General features: G+C 37.5%; 1 protein-coding gene across 1 annotated transcript in view, besides 2 other annotated features; it reads right to left on the bottom strand.

Moving 5' to 3' along the window:
* The window catches only part of DKK2 (dickkopf Wnt signaling pathway inhibitor 2), a 114,512-nt gene that overhangs the window by 46,202 nt on the left and 53,136 nt on the right, over window positions 1–15,174 (bottom strand). The window lies entirely within an intron of this gene.
* Window positions 9,761–10,534: an enhancer, noted in NCBI's record as "H3K27ac hESC enhancer chr4:107898921-107899694 (GRCh37/hg19 assembly coordinates)". NCBI's record gives its function as "activates a minimal SCP1, AML or CMV promoter by ChIP-STARR-seq in naive H9 embryonic stem cells {active_cell/tissue: H9 hESC(naive)}" and the evidence as "EXISTENCE:reporter gene assay evidence [ECO:0000049][PMID:30033119]".
* Window positions 10,535–11,306: an enhancer, noted in NCBI's record as "H3K27ac hESC enhancer chr4:107899695-107900466 (GRCh37/hg19 assembly coordinates)". NCBI's record gives its function as "activates a minimal SCP1, AML or CMV promoter by ChIP-STARR-seq in naive H9 embryonic stem cells {active_cell/tissue: H9 hESC(naive)}" and the evidence as "EXISTENCE:reporter gene assay evidence [ECO:0000049][PMID:30033119]".

The following is a 15,174-nucleotide window of genomic DNA, read 5'->3' on the forward strand; positions in this document are numbered from 1 at the left end:
ATGGAGAGATGAAGGCAGGAAGGAAGGAAAAAAGGAAGGGAGAAAACGGAGGAATGAAGAAAGGGGGAGAGAAAGGAAGGGAAAAGGAGGAAGGGAGAAAGGTGGAGAAAAGAGAGGGAAGGAGGGAGGAAGGAAGGAAGAGACAAAAAAAAGGATGGAAGGAATGAATGCAGGAAGGAATGTAGGCAGAGAGGGAAAAAGGGGAGAAGGAAGGAAACATCAGAGAGTGAGACACAGCAGAGGCATAGGATTTAGAGACAAGTCAAATCAATTCCCCATCTACTACCGTGGCTCCTTGAACTTTCTCCAAAACATCCCAGGTAATCTCATTTTGGTCGTTATTGCCATTTTTATAGATGGGGATGATAAGCCCAGGATAATCAACTTGCTTAAGGTGATGTAACCAGTTCTCACACAAGCCTTCTCTCCAGAATATTAACACATTCATGTGAACGTGTGTGTGTAGGCATATATCATGTATGTGCACGCATGTCCTTTTACTCTGTCTCCACTGGGAATGTCTTAATTTTCATTAGATTCCAAGTAAGAATCAAAATAATGAGACCATGCTTTATATATTCTTAAAATTATTGCAAACATTATATTTACTTTTAAGTAAAGTTTCTGTGACACAGTGCGCCTAACAGATAGTGGGAATTTTATTTATGCATAAAATGCACTGCATAATGAAGTAATTGAGTCTTCATTTTCCATATGGCGTTCTGGACAGTTTGGTTTTGAATGAGTTGGTAAGATTCCCAAGTGGTTGTCACACATGTGGCTGAGAGAAAATTAAAGGGCTGGCTCTCCTCATAGTTCCTTCAGGTCAAGAGGAAAGCAGCTAATATTATTGACTCCTCAACCCAAAAGAAGACAAAAAGACATTCCCTCAAGATACACAGTCATATTCTTCCTCCCTTTCCTGTGTTGCTAGTTTGGATTTCACAGAAGCATAACTAAGGCATACCTGGTCAATTTATAGGCATGCGGAAAGTAAAACAAAAGTACTGAAAAAGAAATTTTAGCATTTGAGCAAAAGTACATCCCAGTTCTTTCTGGAATTAAGTGCTAAGTTCCTGAAGAATGAAGTTGATTTATGCTTTTTTTTTTCTAATTTAGGAATCAATGACCTCAAAGAAGCCATTTCTTAATCTTTGCTCAGAATTGATGCTGGGCTTCCTTTGCTCTGCTTTTGCTCAAACTTCTCGCCTCCAGTTTGGGACCCCTCTTTCCTCTGCTTGTCTCCCATCTCCCCCTCCCCTCTCCCTTTTCCTCTCTCATCTCTCATCTCTCATCTCACATACTCAGGGCTCATCTCAGATGCTCCCACCTCTCTGTATTCATGACTATTTTTCTGGGATTCTCTCTGTAGTACTAATGGTTCTCTCTGTTGATCTATCACTTCCTATGCTTCCCAGTCCTCTATTCAGAAAAGCCCCATGCTGACTCCACAGTTAAACAGAAAAAAAAATTTACTCTGAAAATTAATAAGTAACTTGCACCAAGTGTAGTATTTAAAAGGAGAAGAAGAGGACAGTGTTTAAAAAAAGACAGGAGTGATATTCTTTTCCCCTGACATATTTTCACTCCTCTCTAATTTTTTTTTTGGTCCCTGGCCTGTAAACTTTGAAAGCTTTTGATATTTATTTTGAGTGAGTTCTTCACGTGTGAGAAATATGCTACTGCTTTCTAAACTGAAGAGAGCAGGGACCAAAAAACTCTTTGGAATTAACTGGTGGCAGCAAAAGGAAAAGGCTGATGAAAGGAAGAAATGGAGCTGTGAAGAGAACAAAAATATCTCCAAGAGTTTAAATAGGTCAGATATCTACCTATCACCCTCATAATTCTAACCTTCCTCTCGGGTCAAATCTGTGGGGCCTTCCTACTCCAGGGGCATAAGACCTGGAGAACTACAGACCTGGCTGGGAAGTAAAAGAGGGACTCTTAATATACAGTTTCAGGGATATTATGAGTTAGATAAAACTTTATGAAAACTCAACCACTGTCATTATTTTTAACACAACATGTATTTCAAGCTTGGAGCAAACTTCAGTGCACGTAAGCCAGGTAGCTTTTATTCGAATTCTAGTTCTACCACTTATGAGATGCGTTACCTTTGACAATTGTTTAGCCTGAGTTTTTACATTTATAAAATAGGGACAATATTGTTGTCTACTTCACAAGGGTATTGTAAAGATTAACTAAATTAAGGTAAAGAACTGAGAACATTTTCTGACACTGTGTGGGATTGTTTAATTAAGGAGATAGATAAGCACTGCAGAAACTTTTTGAATGCACACATAACATCAAACCTGCAATAGTGGATCTGGAAGAGAGTAATGGTTACCTATTTTTGCCAATATCACTCTAGAGGTATGGTGAGATGAAATGTCACTGCATGTTTAGAGTGATAATGGCACATACAGTATGTGAAATCCCCAGAAATGTGCTTAGCATAGAGTAAGTACTCAACAATAGCTATTATTATTACCATTATCCATGTTATCATGATTATATAACCCTTCCCATGGCACGCTCATCATCAAGAATCTCTTGATTGACAATCCCTGTTGCTATTACAGAACCTCTCAAATGATTGACTCAATAGGTGTTTCCAGTTTTGGTCAAAATTCCATCTCATTACCACTGTGATCTTGTTTGTGGACTGCTATATTGTACAAGGCCTACTGAGCCCACAGAATGTTAGCATTGTAGCAAAAGTGGCACTGCTGATCATTGGAAAATCTTTAATCCAGATGGTGCAGGTCAACACTTAAAACCCATATGGTTACCTTGAACCTAAAGAGGGGAAAACTGGTGGTCAGTTTCAATTCACATTTGAAAGTGTTTCTTAAGAAATCTTGCTATTAAATGCAATCAAGCACTTTGAGAAGGACTAGAGAGGTGAAGTTTCCAAAATGTCAACATTTGGAAACAGAAAAAAGGAATACAATAACTGCTATTGTTAAGTTTTAAACTTTTAAAATACCAAATTAGGTTTTGCTTTGCTTTGCTTTACTGAAGTAAACATTTGTTTGGGTGGCCATCTTTGAATCTATTCGAGCACTGAATTTTGTCACAGTGTGCAAATGTTTTCTAGCTTTGTGTTCCCTCTGGGTAAACATATAGACAATGTAATTATCCATATGTACTCTGTTATTTGGGTTACTTTGGAGATATACAGGATCCATGAGTCAAGATAAACCCAGAAATTAACTTTCTAAGTGATACTGAGCCATTCCCTCTTGATATGCAATTTCTTTGTGTTATGGATTTTTCTGTCTTAAAAGGAAATCACATTATATTCCTTTCTATATTGTTAACAATAGTAGCCCCAGAATTCACTTCAATGTATTTCAAAACTAATTATTAAACAGCTTATATCTACACTCTGTTTAGTGCTGGAAGAGGAAATAACTGTAAGATTAATGACACTCTAATGGTACAGAACAGAAAATTCTCTGTCTCTAAGATCATCTAAACCAAAGACATGTACACAACTACCTATAATGTAGGCCAGACCACAGAAATGCTAAGTGATGCTTTAAAGTCTTCTGAAAAATAATGCCTTAACTAAACAAAGTCCCCCTACATCCAGAGTATGAATGATGCTGCTATTACTTATTTCTACTGTCTTCCATCTATTTTATAGTGTTCTTTGATCCATTCTTTGCATTCTTCTTGTTTGAAAGTAATATTCTTGATAGTTTAATAATGAGACCCCTCCTTTGTTCCTAGATGCCTTGGCGGCTAATCAACAAAAGCCATTGAAAGACTTAATCCTCTAAGCTTGGCACCACATCAGTCTGGAAGTAGTTTACATGCAGAGTCCTTTGGAGTAAATACTCATTAGAGGTTCTGTTGGCTCATTTGGTCACCCACATTTTGCAGTGGGTGGCCTAGTTGGCATCCTCATTATTTTCTTTTTCCACTCCTGAAAATAATCCAGATGTAGCAACCTGACACTACTTTCTTTGGTACTCCAAATCCATTGTTATGAAGGGTCCATTAATTTGTGATGCTAGCTAATATGTCCAAATAAATAAAGGCCTCAGGCCAGTAATGCTGTAATAAATCTTTTACTAATACACTTTTTTCAGTGCAACCTATTGAATGCAATTCAATGGCTTCAAGGATAATTTACTGTAATTTCTTGTGCCTGAAACCTAGAGAATTATGTGCCATCTACCCCCGCCTCACCACTTCTCCTCCCCACCCACATTTTTACACTGATGAACAAGTCAATTTACAGAAGCAAATTTATCCAGGTTATTCACTAATTACAAAGCAAGTATCTCGCTTCTTCATTTATTACCTAGATAGACTTTTACTACATAGCTTCTTGATTATTACTTGAATCAAAGAAGCAGAGAGTCTCTGGAATGTTATTATCTTTCCAGGTTTAACAATGAAAATCTAAAAAAAAAAAAAAGACTTTGTTTCTTGACTTCCTAAGTACAAAGTACTGTTAAAAGACAAGGAGGGTAAGATATATCTTATTCTTTCAGAGCTTGTTTTATTGTTATAAAGCCAATAAAAGTAAGTTGTCACTTTTTCCCTCATGATTATGACAACAATCTGCAAAATGGGCTTGCAATAAAATTTACCGGATAGGATATTTATTAATGCAAGGATTAAAATCACAACTTATATAAAGTTCTTAGAACAGTGTCTAGCTTTAGGCCATGAGTACCAATGTATGAGAAGCTATTATATTCTTGTCATATGACTTCATATTAATCTTTTTGTTTTATACTTTAAGTTCTCAGATACATTTGCAGAATGTGCAGGTTTGTTACATAGGTATGCATGTGCCATGATGGTTTCCTGCACCCACCAATCTGTCATTTACATTAGGTATTTCTCCTAATGCTATTCCTCTCTGACCCTTCCACCCCACTACAGGCCCCAGTGAGTGATGTTCCCTTCTCTGGGTCCATGTGTTCTCATTGTTCCACTCCTACTTATGAGTGAGAACACATGGTGTTTTGTTTTCTGTTCCTGTGTTACTTTGCTGAGAATGATGGTTTCCAGCTTCATCCATGTCCCTGCAAAGGACATGAACTCATCCTTTTTTATGGCTGCGTAGTATTCCATGGTGTATATGTGCCACATTGTCTTTATCCACTCTATCATTGATGGGCATTTGGGTTGGTTCCAAGTCTCTGCCATTGTGAATAGTGCTGCAATAAATCAAGTACATGTGTCTTTATAGTTGAATGATTTATAATCCTTTGGGTATATACCCAGTAATGGGACTGCTGGGTCAAATGGTATTTCTGGTTCTAGATCCTTGAGGAATCACCACACTGTCTTCCACAATGGTTGAACTAATTAACACTCCCACCAACAGTGTAAAAGTGTTCCCATTTCTCCACATTCTCTCCAGCATCTGTTGTTTCCTGACTTTTTAATGATTGCCATTCTAACTGGAGTGAGACAGTATCTAATTTTGGCTTTGATTTGCATTTCTCTAATGACCAGTGATGATGAGCTTTTTTTCCTGTTTGTTGGCCACATAAATGTCTTCTTTTGAGAAGTGTCTCTTCATAACCTTCACACACTTTTTGATGGGGTTTTTGTTTTTTTCTTGTAAATTTGTTTAAGTTCCCTGTAGCTTCTGGAGATTAGCCCTTTGTCAGACAGAGAGATTGCAAAAATTTTCTCCCATACTATAGGTTGCCTGTTCACTCTGATGATAGTTTCTTTTGCTGTGCAGAAGCTCTTTAGCTTAATTAGATCCCATTTGTCTATTTTGGCTTTTGTTGCCATTGCTTTTGGTATTTTAGTCATGAAGTCTTTGCCCTTGCCTATGTCCTGAATGGTATTGCCTAGGTTTTCCTCTAAGGTTTTTTATTGTTTTAGCTCTTACATTTAACTCTTTAATCCATCTTGAGTTAATTTTTGTATAAGGTGTAAGGAAGGGGTCCGGTTTCAGTTTTCTGCATATGGCTAGCCAGTTTCCCAACACCATTTATTAAATAGGGAATCCTTTTCCCATTGCTTGTTTTTGTCAGGTTTGTCAAAGATCAGATGGTCATTGTCATAGATGTGTGGTGTTATTTCTGAGGCCTCTGTTATGTTCCATTGGTCTATATACCTGATTTGGTACCAGTACCATGCTGTTTTGGTTACTGTAGCCTTGAGGTATAGTCTGAAGTCAGGTAGCATGATGCCTCCAGTTTTCTTCTTTTTGCTTAGGATTGTCTTGGCTATATGGGCTCTTTTTTGGGTCCATATGAAATTAAGGTAGTTTTTTTCTAATTCTGTGAAGAAAGTCAATGGTAGCTTGATGGGGACAGCATTGAATCTACAAATTACTTTGGGCAGTATGGCCATTTTCACGATATTGATTCTTCCTATCCATGAGCATGGAATGTTTTTCCATTTGTTTATGTCCTCTCTTATTTCCTTCAGCAGTGGTTTGTAGTTCTCCTTGAAGAGGTCCTTCACATCCCTTGTAAGTTGTATTCCTAGGTATTTTATTCTCTTCATGGCAATTGTGAATGGGAGTTCACTCATGATTTGGCTCTCTATTTGTTTGTTATTGGTGTATAGGAATGCTTGTGATTTTCGCACATTGATTTTGTATCCTGAGACTTTGCTGCAGTTGCTTATCAGCTTAAGGAGATTTTGGGCTGAGACAATGGGGTGTTCTAAATATACAATCATGTCATCTGCAAACAGAGACAATTTGACTTCCTCTCTTCCTATTTGAATACGTTTTATTTCTTTCTCTTGCCTGATTGCCCTGGCCTGAACTTTCAATACTATGTTGACTAGGAGTGGTGAGAGAAGGCATCCTTTTCTTGTGCCGGTTTTCAAAGGGAATGCTTCCAGCTCTTGCCCATTCAATATGTTATTGGCTGTGGATCTGTCATAAATAGCTCTTATTATTTTGAGATACGTTCCATCAATAACTAGTTTATTGACAGCTTTTAGTATAAAGGGGTGTTGAATTTTATTGAAGGCCTTTCCTGCATTTATTGAGATAATCATGTTGTTTTTGTCATTGGTTCTGTTTATGCGATGGGTTACATTTGTTGATTTGAGTATGTTGAACCAGACTTGCATCCCAGGGATGAAGCCACCTTGATTGTGGTGGATAAGCTTTTTGATGTGCTGCTGGATTTGGTTTGCCAGTATTTTATTTAAGATTTTCGCACTGATGTTCATCAGGGACATTGGTCTGAAATTATCTTTTTTGGTTGTGTCTCTGCCAGGTTTTGGTATCAGGATGATGCTGGCCTCATAAAATGAGTTAGTGAGGATTTCCTGTTTTTGTATTATTTGGAGTAGTTTCAGAAGGAATTGTACCAGCTCCTCTTTGTACCTCTGGTAGAATTCGGCTGTGAATCCATCTGATCCTGGGATTTTTTTGGTTGCTAGGCTATTAAATACTGCCTCAATTTCAGAACTTGTCATTCATCTATTCAGGGATTCGACTCTTCCTGGTTTAGTTTGGGAGGGTGTATGTGTCTAGGAATTTATCCATTTCTTTTAAATTTTCTAGTTTATTTGCCTAGAGGTGTTAAAGTATTCTCTGATGGTAGTTTGTATTTGTGTGGGATCAGCGGTGACATCCCCTTTATCATTTTTTATTATGTCTGTTTGATTCTTCTCTCTTTCCTTCTTTATTAGTCTGGCTAGCAGTCTGTCTATTTTGTTAATCTTAAAGAAAAAGCAGCTCCTAGATTCATTAATTTTTGGAAGGATTTTTCATGTCTCTATCTCCTTCAGTTCCACTCGAATCTTAGTTATTTCTTGTCTTCTGCTAGCTTTTGACTTTGTTTGCTCTTGCTTCTCTAATTCTTTTAATTGTAATATTAGGGTGCTGATTTTAGATCTTTTCTGCCTTTTCCTGTGGGCATTTAGTGCTATAAATTTCCTTCTAAACACTGCTTTAGCTGTGTCCCAGAGATTCTGGTATGTTGCATCTTTGTTCTCATTGGTTTCAAAGAACTTATTTATTTCTGCCTTAATTTTGTTATTTACCCAGTAGTCATTCAGGAGCAGGTTGTTCAGTTTCCATGTAGTTGTGCGGTTTTGAGTGAGTTTCTTAATCCTGAGTTCTAATTTGATTGCACTGTGGTCTGAGAGCCTGTTCGTTATGATTTCCATTCTTTTCCATTTGCTGAGCAGTGTTTTACTTCCAATTATGCGGTTAAATTTGGAATAAGTGTGATGTGGTGCTGAGAAGAATGTATATTCTGTTGATTTGGGGTGGAGAGTTCTGTAGATGTCTATTAAGTCCACTTGGTCTAAAGCTGAGTTCAAGTCCTGAATATCTTTGTTAATTTTCTGACTCGTCGATCTGTCTAATATTGACAGTGGGGTGTTAAATCTCCCACTATTATTGTGTCAGAGCCTAAGTCTCTTTGTAGATCTCTAAGAACTTGCTTTATGAATCTGGGTGCTCCTGTATTTGGTGCATATATATTTAGGATAGTTAGCTCTTCTTGTTGAATTGATCCCTTTACCATTATGTAATGGCCTTCTTTGTCTTTTTTGATCTTTGTTGGTTTAAAGTCTGTTTTATCAGAGACTAGGATTGCAACCTCTGCTTTTTTTTCTTTCCACTTGCTTGGTAGATCTTCCTCCATCCCTTTATTTTAAGCATATATGTGTCTTTGCACATGAGATGGGTCCCCTGAATACAGCACACCAATGGGTTTTGACTCTTTATCCAATTTGCCAGTCTGTGTTTTTTAATTGGGGCATTTAGCCCATTTACATTTAAGGTTAATATTGTTATGTGTAAATTTGATTCTGTCATGATGACGCTAACTGGTTATTTTGCCCATTAGTTGATGCAGTTTCTTCAAAGGGTCGATGGTCTTTACAATTTGGTATGTTTTTGTAGTGGCTTGTACTGTTTTTTCTATTCCATATTGAGTGCTTTTTTCAGGATCTCTTGTAAGGCAGGCCCGATGGTGACAAAAATCTCTCAGCATTTGCTTGTCTGTAAGGATTTTATTTCTCCTTCACTTATGAAGCTTAGTTTGGCTGGATATGAAATTGTGGGTTAAAAATTCTTTTATTTAAGAATGTTGAATATTGGCCCCCACTCTCTTCTGGCTTGTAGGGTTTCTGCAGAGAGATCTGCTGTTAGTCTGTTGGGCTTCCCTTTGTGGGTAACCCAACCTTTCTCTCTAGCTGCCCTTAACATTTTTTCCTTCATTTCAATCCTGGTGAATCTGACAATTATGTGTCGTGGGGTTGCTCTTCTCGAGTAGTATCTTTGTGGTGTTCTCTGTATTTCCCGAATTTGAATGTTGGCCTGTCTTGCTAGGTTGGGATAGTTCTCCTGGATAACAACCTGAAGAGTGTTTTCCAACTTGGTTCCATTCTCCCCGTTACTTTCAGGTACACCAATCAAATGTAGGTTTGGTCTTTTCACATAGTCTCATATTTCTTGGAGGCTTTGTTCTTTCCTTTTCATTCTTTTTTCTCTATTCTTGTCTTCATGCTTTATTTCATTACTTTGATGTTCAATCTCTGATAACCTTTCTTCCACTTGATTGATTCAGCTATTGATACTTGTGTATGCTTCACAAAGTTCTCTTGCTGTGTTTTTCAGCTCTATCAGGTCATTTATGTTCTCTAAACTGGTTACTCTAGTTAGCAATTTCTCTAACCTTTTTTCAAGTTCTTAGCTTCCTTGCATTGGGTTAGAACATGCTCCTTTAGCTCAGAGGAGTTTGTTATTACCCACCTTCCGAAGCCTACTTCTGTCAATTCGTCAAACTCATTCTCCGTCCAGTTTTGTTCCCTTGTTGGGAGGAATTGTGATCCTTTGGAGGAGAAGAGGCGCTCTGGTTTTTGGAATTTTCTGCCTTTTTGCGCTGGGTTTTCCTCATCATCATGGATTTATCTACCTTTGGTCTTTGATGTTGGTGACCTTCAGATGGGGTTTTTGTGTGGCTGTCCTTTTTGTTGATGTTGATGCTATTCCTTTCTTTTTGTTAGTTTTCCTTCTAACAGTCAGGCCTCTCTGCTGCAGGTCTGCTGGAGTTTGTTGGAGGTCCACTCCAGACCCTGTTTGCCTGGATATCACCAGCAGAGGCTGCAGAACAGCAAAGATTGCTGCCTGTTCCTTCCTTTGGAAGCTTCATTCTAGAGGGGCAATCTCCAGGTGCCAGTCAGAGCTCTCCTGTATGAGGTGCCTGTCGACCCCTGCTGGGAGGTATCTCCCCATCAGGAGGCACGGGGCTCAGGGACCCACTTGAGAAGCCAGTCTGTCCCTTAGCAGAGCTCGAGCGCTGTGTTTGGAGACCTGCTGCTCTCTTCAGAGCCAGAATGCAGGAAGGTTTAGGTCTGCGGAAGCTGCGCCCACAGCCACCCCTTCCCCCAGGTGCTCTATCCCAGGGAGATGAGAGTTTGATCTATAAGCCCCTGACAGTGGCTGCTGCCTTTCTTTCATAGTTGCCCTGCCCAGAGAGAAGGAATCTAGAGAGGCAGTCTGACTACAGCAGCTTTGTGGAGCTGCGGTGGGCTCTGCCGAGTTCAAACTTCCTGGAGGCTTTGTTTGCACTGGAAGGGGAAAACCACCTACTCAAGCCTCAGTACTGGTGGATGCCCCTCCCCCCACCAAGCTCAAGCATACCAGGTCGACTTCAGACTTCTGTCCTGGCAGCGAAAATTTCAAACAATCGATCTTAGCTTGCTGGGCTCTGTGGGGGTAGGATCCGCTGAGCTAGACCATTTGGCTCCCTGGCTTCAGCCCCCTTTGCAGGGGAGTGAATGGTTTTGTCTTGCTGGCGTTCCGGGTGCCACTGGGGTATGATAAAAAAGAAAAAGAAAACAAACAAACTCCTGCAGCTAGCTCAGTGTCTGCCCAAACAGCCTCCCAGTTTTGTGCTTGAAACCCAGGGCCCTGGTGGTGTAGGCACCCGAGGGAATCTCCTAGTCTACGGGTTGCGAAGACTGTGGGAAAAGCATAGTGTCTGGGCCGGAATGCACCACTCCTCACAGCACAGTCCCTCACAGCTTCCCTTGGGTAGGGGAAGGAGTTCCCCGACCTGTATTAATCTTAAATAAGGAAACATTCAAAGGTTTTTTGTTTTTGTTTTTGTTTTTTTTTCAGAATTTATAAAACTGTGAAGTTCTATTGCTAACTTCTCCATGGATGACAGGAAATTCAGAGGAGATGTGGTGTTGAAGAATAAAGGAATGTGGCCATCCTTTATAAAGGAATTGTGGCCTCCAGTTGTAGGATATTATATTCATATATTTTCACCCATTACCTCATTAAATACTCACAATGACCACACAAGGTACATACTGCTTTGTCTGTTGGGCAAAAAACTGACTGTAGGCTAACAAAGGTTAAATAAAACTCCAGGATTTGAAGGCAAGCTCATCTAACTCAAAAAATCAGATTCTTTCTTCACATTATTTCCATTCCCTGAGTTCTAATCAGACTACTTAGTATCCTTCTTTTTTTTTTTTTTTTCAAATACAGGAAGAGTGTAGGAAGCATCCTGTCATCTTGTGCAAAATCATACTATATCTTGGATTTTAACTGCCGCTAAGATTTAATAACTTTGGAGGGAAAAACAGCAAGGTATCCTCCTGTGTACCATAAATAGGCTACTCCATGGTAAATTACATACTCATGAGTTATCCTAGAAGGAGCCTCACATCACTCTGGGACAGTGTTGCTGACCATGGCCAAAATCATGAGGGCTTGCACGTGTTCAGGATCAGCTCTGCTGAGTGTGTAACACACATGCAGATGCTGTGCTATTCCCAGCCTTACTACCGACTTACTCAAACTCGCTGCACTCAGGCACAGATGCAGTTTCTGTCTTTTCTCATACATCACAGTATCCAGGTGTTTGTTTGTTTGCTCAGCCATGACATTGAACCACACAAGACTTTTATAAGTGGTCAAATAGATTCATAAGGGGGCAATTCATAATACTGGTCACTTTAAATAGTTTACTACAATAAGTCTAAATTACTCATTCACAAACATACACATAAAACTTCTAAAACATCATTTTGGTGTCCATATCATGGTTACTGCTATACCAACTTATATTACTGAAAACTTCTCTCAAATGGTATGCTAGAAGAGCTCTGAAATAAAGTTTTAATTTAAACAAGGCAATTGCTATATAGCTAGACATGTTTATTTTGTTTTATTATGTTTTGTTTCACTATCAATATGCTTTGAAACTCAGTACATCTGAAGCACTAGTATTATTGATTTCAACTTAGACTATATGGTTATATATCTTTACTATCTACACATCTATATACTTACATATATTAATTTATATCTATAGATATCTATGTGTATGTACATATATACACAGGTATATGCATATGTCTATCAATATGTTATCAAAAGTCACATGTAAATGTTTAGGCTCAAATCTTCTAAACTTAATTATGCTTCATAACATTTCTGCATATTATATATTAACTATTATATAATGTGTATTATGTTTGCTTAGACAAAGTAAAGCCAATGGAAGATATGTAATTTAACTCTTATTCTGCATTATGTTAGATAACTCATCCCAAAAGTATAACAAGTAATAGTTCTGTGAGAATTTTCTTTGTTTGTTTGTTTTGGATGTAAGTAATACAATTTTTCTATACTGGATGATTTATTATGGTTAAATAAGATAATACATGCTGAATTCGCTGCAAGCTAAAGTTCATAGAGCATTATCTGTTTATTTGTCAACATGCTTATTAAGCAGGTTTCATGTGTAAAGGAAATTAAATGCACTGTCATATTGTTGCTATTTTCAATAATGTTACCAATAATAACTAAGTGCTACATGCCAGCTATGAAGGCACTTGGAGAATGAACAATCTATAAAGGGTAGTCCAATCCACCAAAAGTTTATTTTATAATAATATTAGATTTGAGTGCTACCAAATTTTTTAAAAACTCACAAACATGGTCTCACTTTGTCCTTACAACAACAATATGAAATAAGCATTATTATTATCCCTCCACCCGAAGAAGGCAAGTGTCATGAGCAAGAATTTACTACTGCTGCCCAAATGAAAAAGTAACTGGAATTTGCTGATAATTTTGCCCACGTGTCATATAATAAAGTCATTTAAAGCCTGTTTAAAGTGTTGATTGACTTTGCTATTAAATCATTAGAGGTCAACCTATATGGGGGAGAAAAAGGGACTCAGAGTAAAGCAAAATTGTGCCCTAAAGATACTTGAAGGGGTGGTCTAAATTGAAGGAAAAAAAAGAAATTAATGATAAAAATATTATAATTTCATAATTGACACAATATGCAAATAAATATTTCTAGCCTTTAATTGGGAAAATAAAGATTTTTCTTAGAAAGCAATACATTTTCTCCATTCTTCAGTCTAACATATTGAAAATAAACTGCCCAGATGAAAACATTTTCCCCTCTTATTTAAAGCCTGTATCTTTGAATGGCTTTGGAAACTATGGTTGAGTATAGCATCTAAGTACAAATAGGTAGCTTTCCACCAGCATTCAAAATGCATTACCATATGCTTGTTCCCTTCATATTTGAATTTCCCCCTTTTTAACTATAATGCCAAATTAGTCCTTTTGTCATTCTCTGAACCAGAAGATCCTCCTTCTCTCTCCATGCTGAGCCTTTCATAGGGCAATCATCTTCTCATTTACTTCCCATTGTCTCCTCTGTGGACTTTGCCTATTTGAAATCCTACCTATCTTTTCAGGTTTACTGCAAAGCCCATCTTTTTGGATGCTACTCAAGGGTGCTTTTCATGATCCTTCCAGAGAAAAGGAATTTTTCTTTTTTTACCAACCATTTTTGCTTTACTTTTATTTATCATTCACCCTATTTATATCATACTTATATAATATATTTATGTGTTTATGTATAATCTCTCTCCAGCTAAATTATAAATTTTTAGAAATCAGAAAATATGCAATATTTTTTCCTTGAGGTCATAGTAGCAACTAGGATGATGCCTCAAATATTTATGTGCTCAATAAATATTGGGTGAATCAATAAAATACTGTCAGCAAATTCAACACTAACAGCACTCTAATAACATATTTTATGATTCTAATATTCTAGTTCACAGAACAAATATTTTAAGATTTGGAGTATTTCAATGTATGACAAGGATAAAAATTTATGAAGTGATATTTAATTCCACTCTGTGATTATTTCGTTTATTTCGTTGGTTATTTTATTTGTCTATCACTAGACTGGAATCTCCATAAAAGCAAATACATACTTTGTTCAACATTTTATTCTCAAGTATGTATTGAGTATGTGTAAGAAGGAAGGAAAGAGATAAGGAGAGAAAAGAGAGAGGGGGAAGAAAGAAGTGCACAGAATTTGCGTAAGTTAGTGTACTCATCACCCCTTCCACTAACTAGAAAGTCACCTCTGTCTCATTCCCTAGTTTCCATTGCTCCTAACACACCCAAACAGAAAGAAACTCTGGTGAATCCGGGCTGCTAGTGCTGGGTACCTCGTATAACAGGGAGGGCTGATATTATTTTACATATTTCAATCTTTCTTTTGCTCATTAACTAATGTGACAATCATGAAAGTGCATAACTAGACCAGTGAAATTCCAATTTAGGTATTTGGTAAATATGTAAGAAAATATAAATTCATGTCTTCATATACATATTAAGCATCAAATCTCATAGCACAAAGGTGTCAAACCTATGTTTATAGAAACAAAAAGCCACAGTGAAAATACTGTAGGTTATGTAAAGCAGAGGAGAGAGAGAGAGAAATGCACAAAATTTCAAGACAGGCATAGTGAAATGCACCTGTAATCTCAGCTACTGAGAGGCTAAGGTGGGAGGATTGTTTGAGTCCAGAGTTCACAACTAGCCTGGGCAACATAGCAAGACTCCATCTCAAAAAAAAAAAAAATCAATGGAGAAAGCATAGTCGCCTTCTATACATTGGGGAGGGAAAGAAAGAAGGAAAGAAAGAGAAGAAAAAGAAGAAGAAAGAAAGAAAGAGAAAGAAAGAAAGAGAAAAGAAAAGAAAAAGAGAGAAAGGAAGGAAGGAAGAAGAAAGATGAAAGAAAGAAAGAAAGAGAAAAGAAAGAAAGAAAAAAGAAAGAAACAAAGAAAATTTCTAAATTTTTAGAAATCAGAAATTATGCAATATTTTTCCCTTGAGGTCATAGTAGCAACTAGGATGATGTCTTAAATATTTA

Source organism: Homo sapiens, chromosome 4 (assembly GCF_000001405.40).
Source record: "Homo sapiens chromosome 4, GRCh38.p14 Primary Assembly".
Classification (NCBI taxonomy): domain Eukaryota; kingdom Metazoa; phylum Chordata; class Mammalia; order Primates; family Hominidae; genus Homo; species Homo sapiens.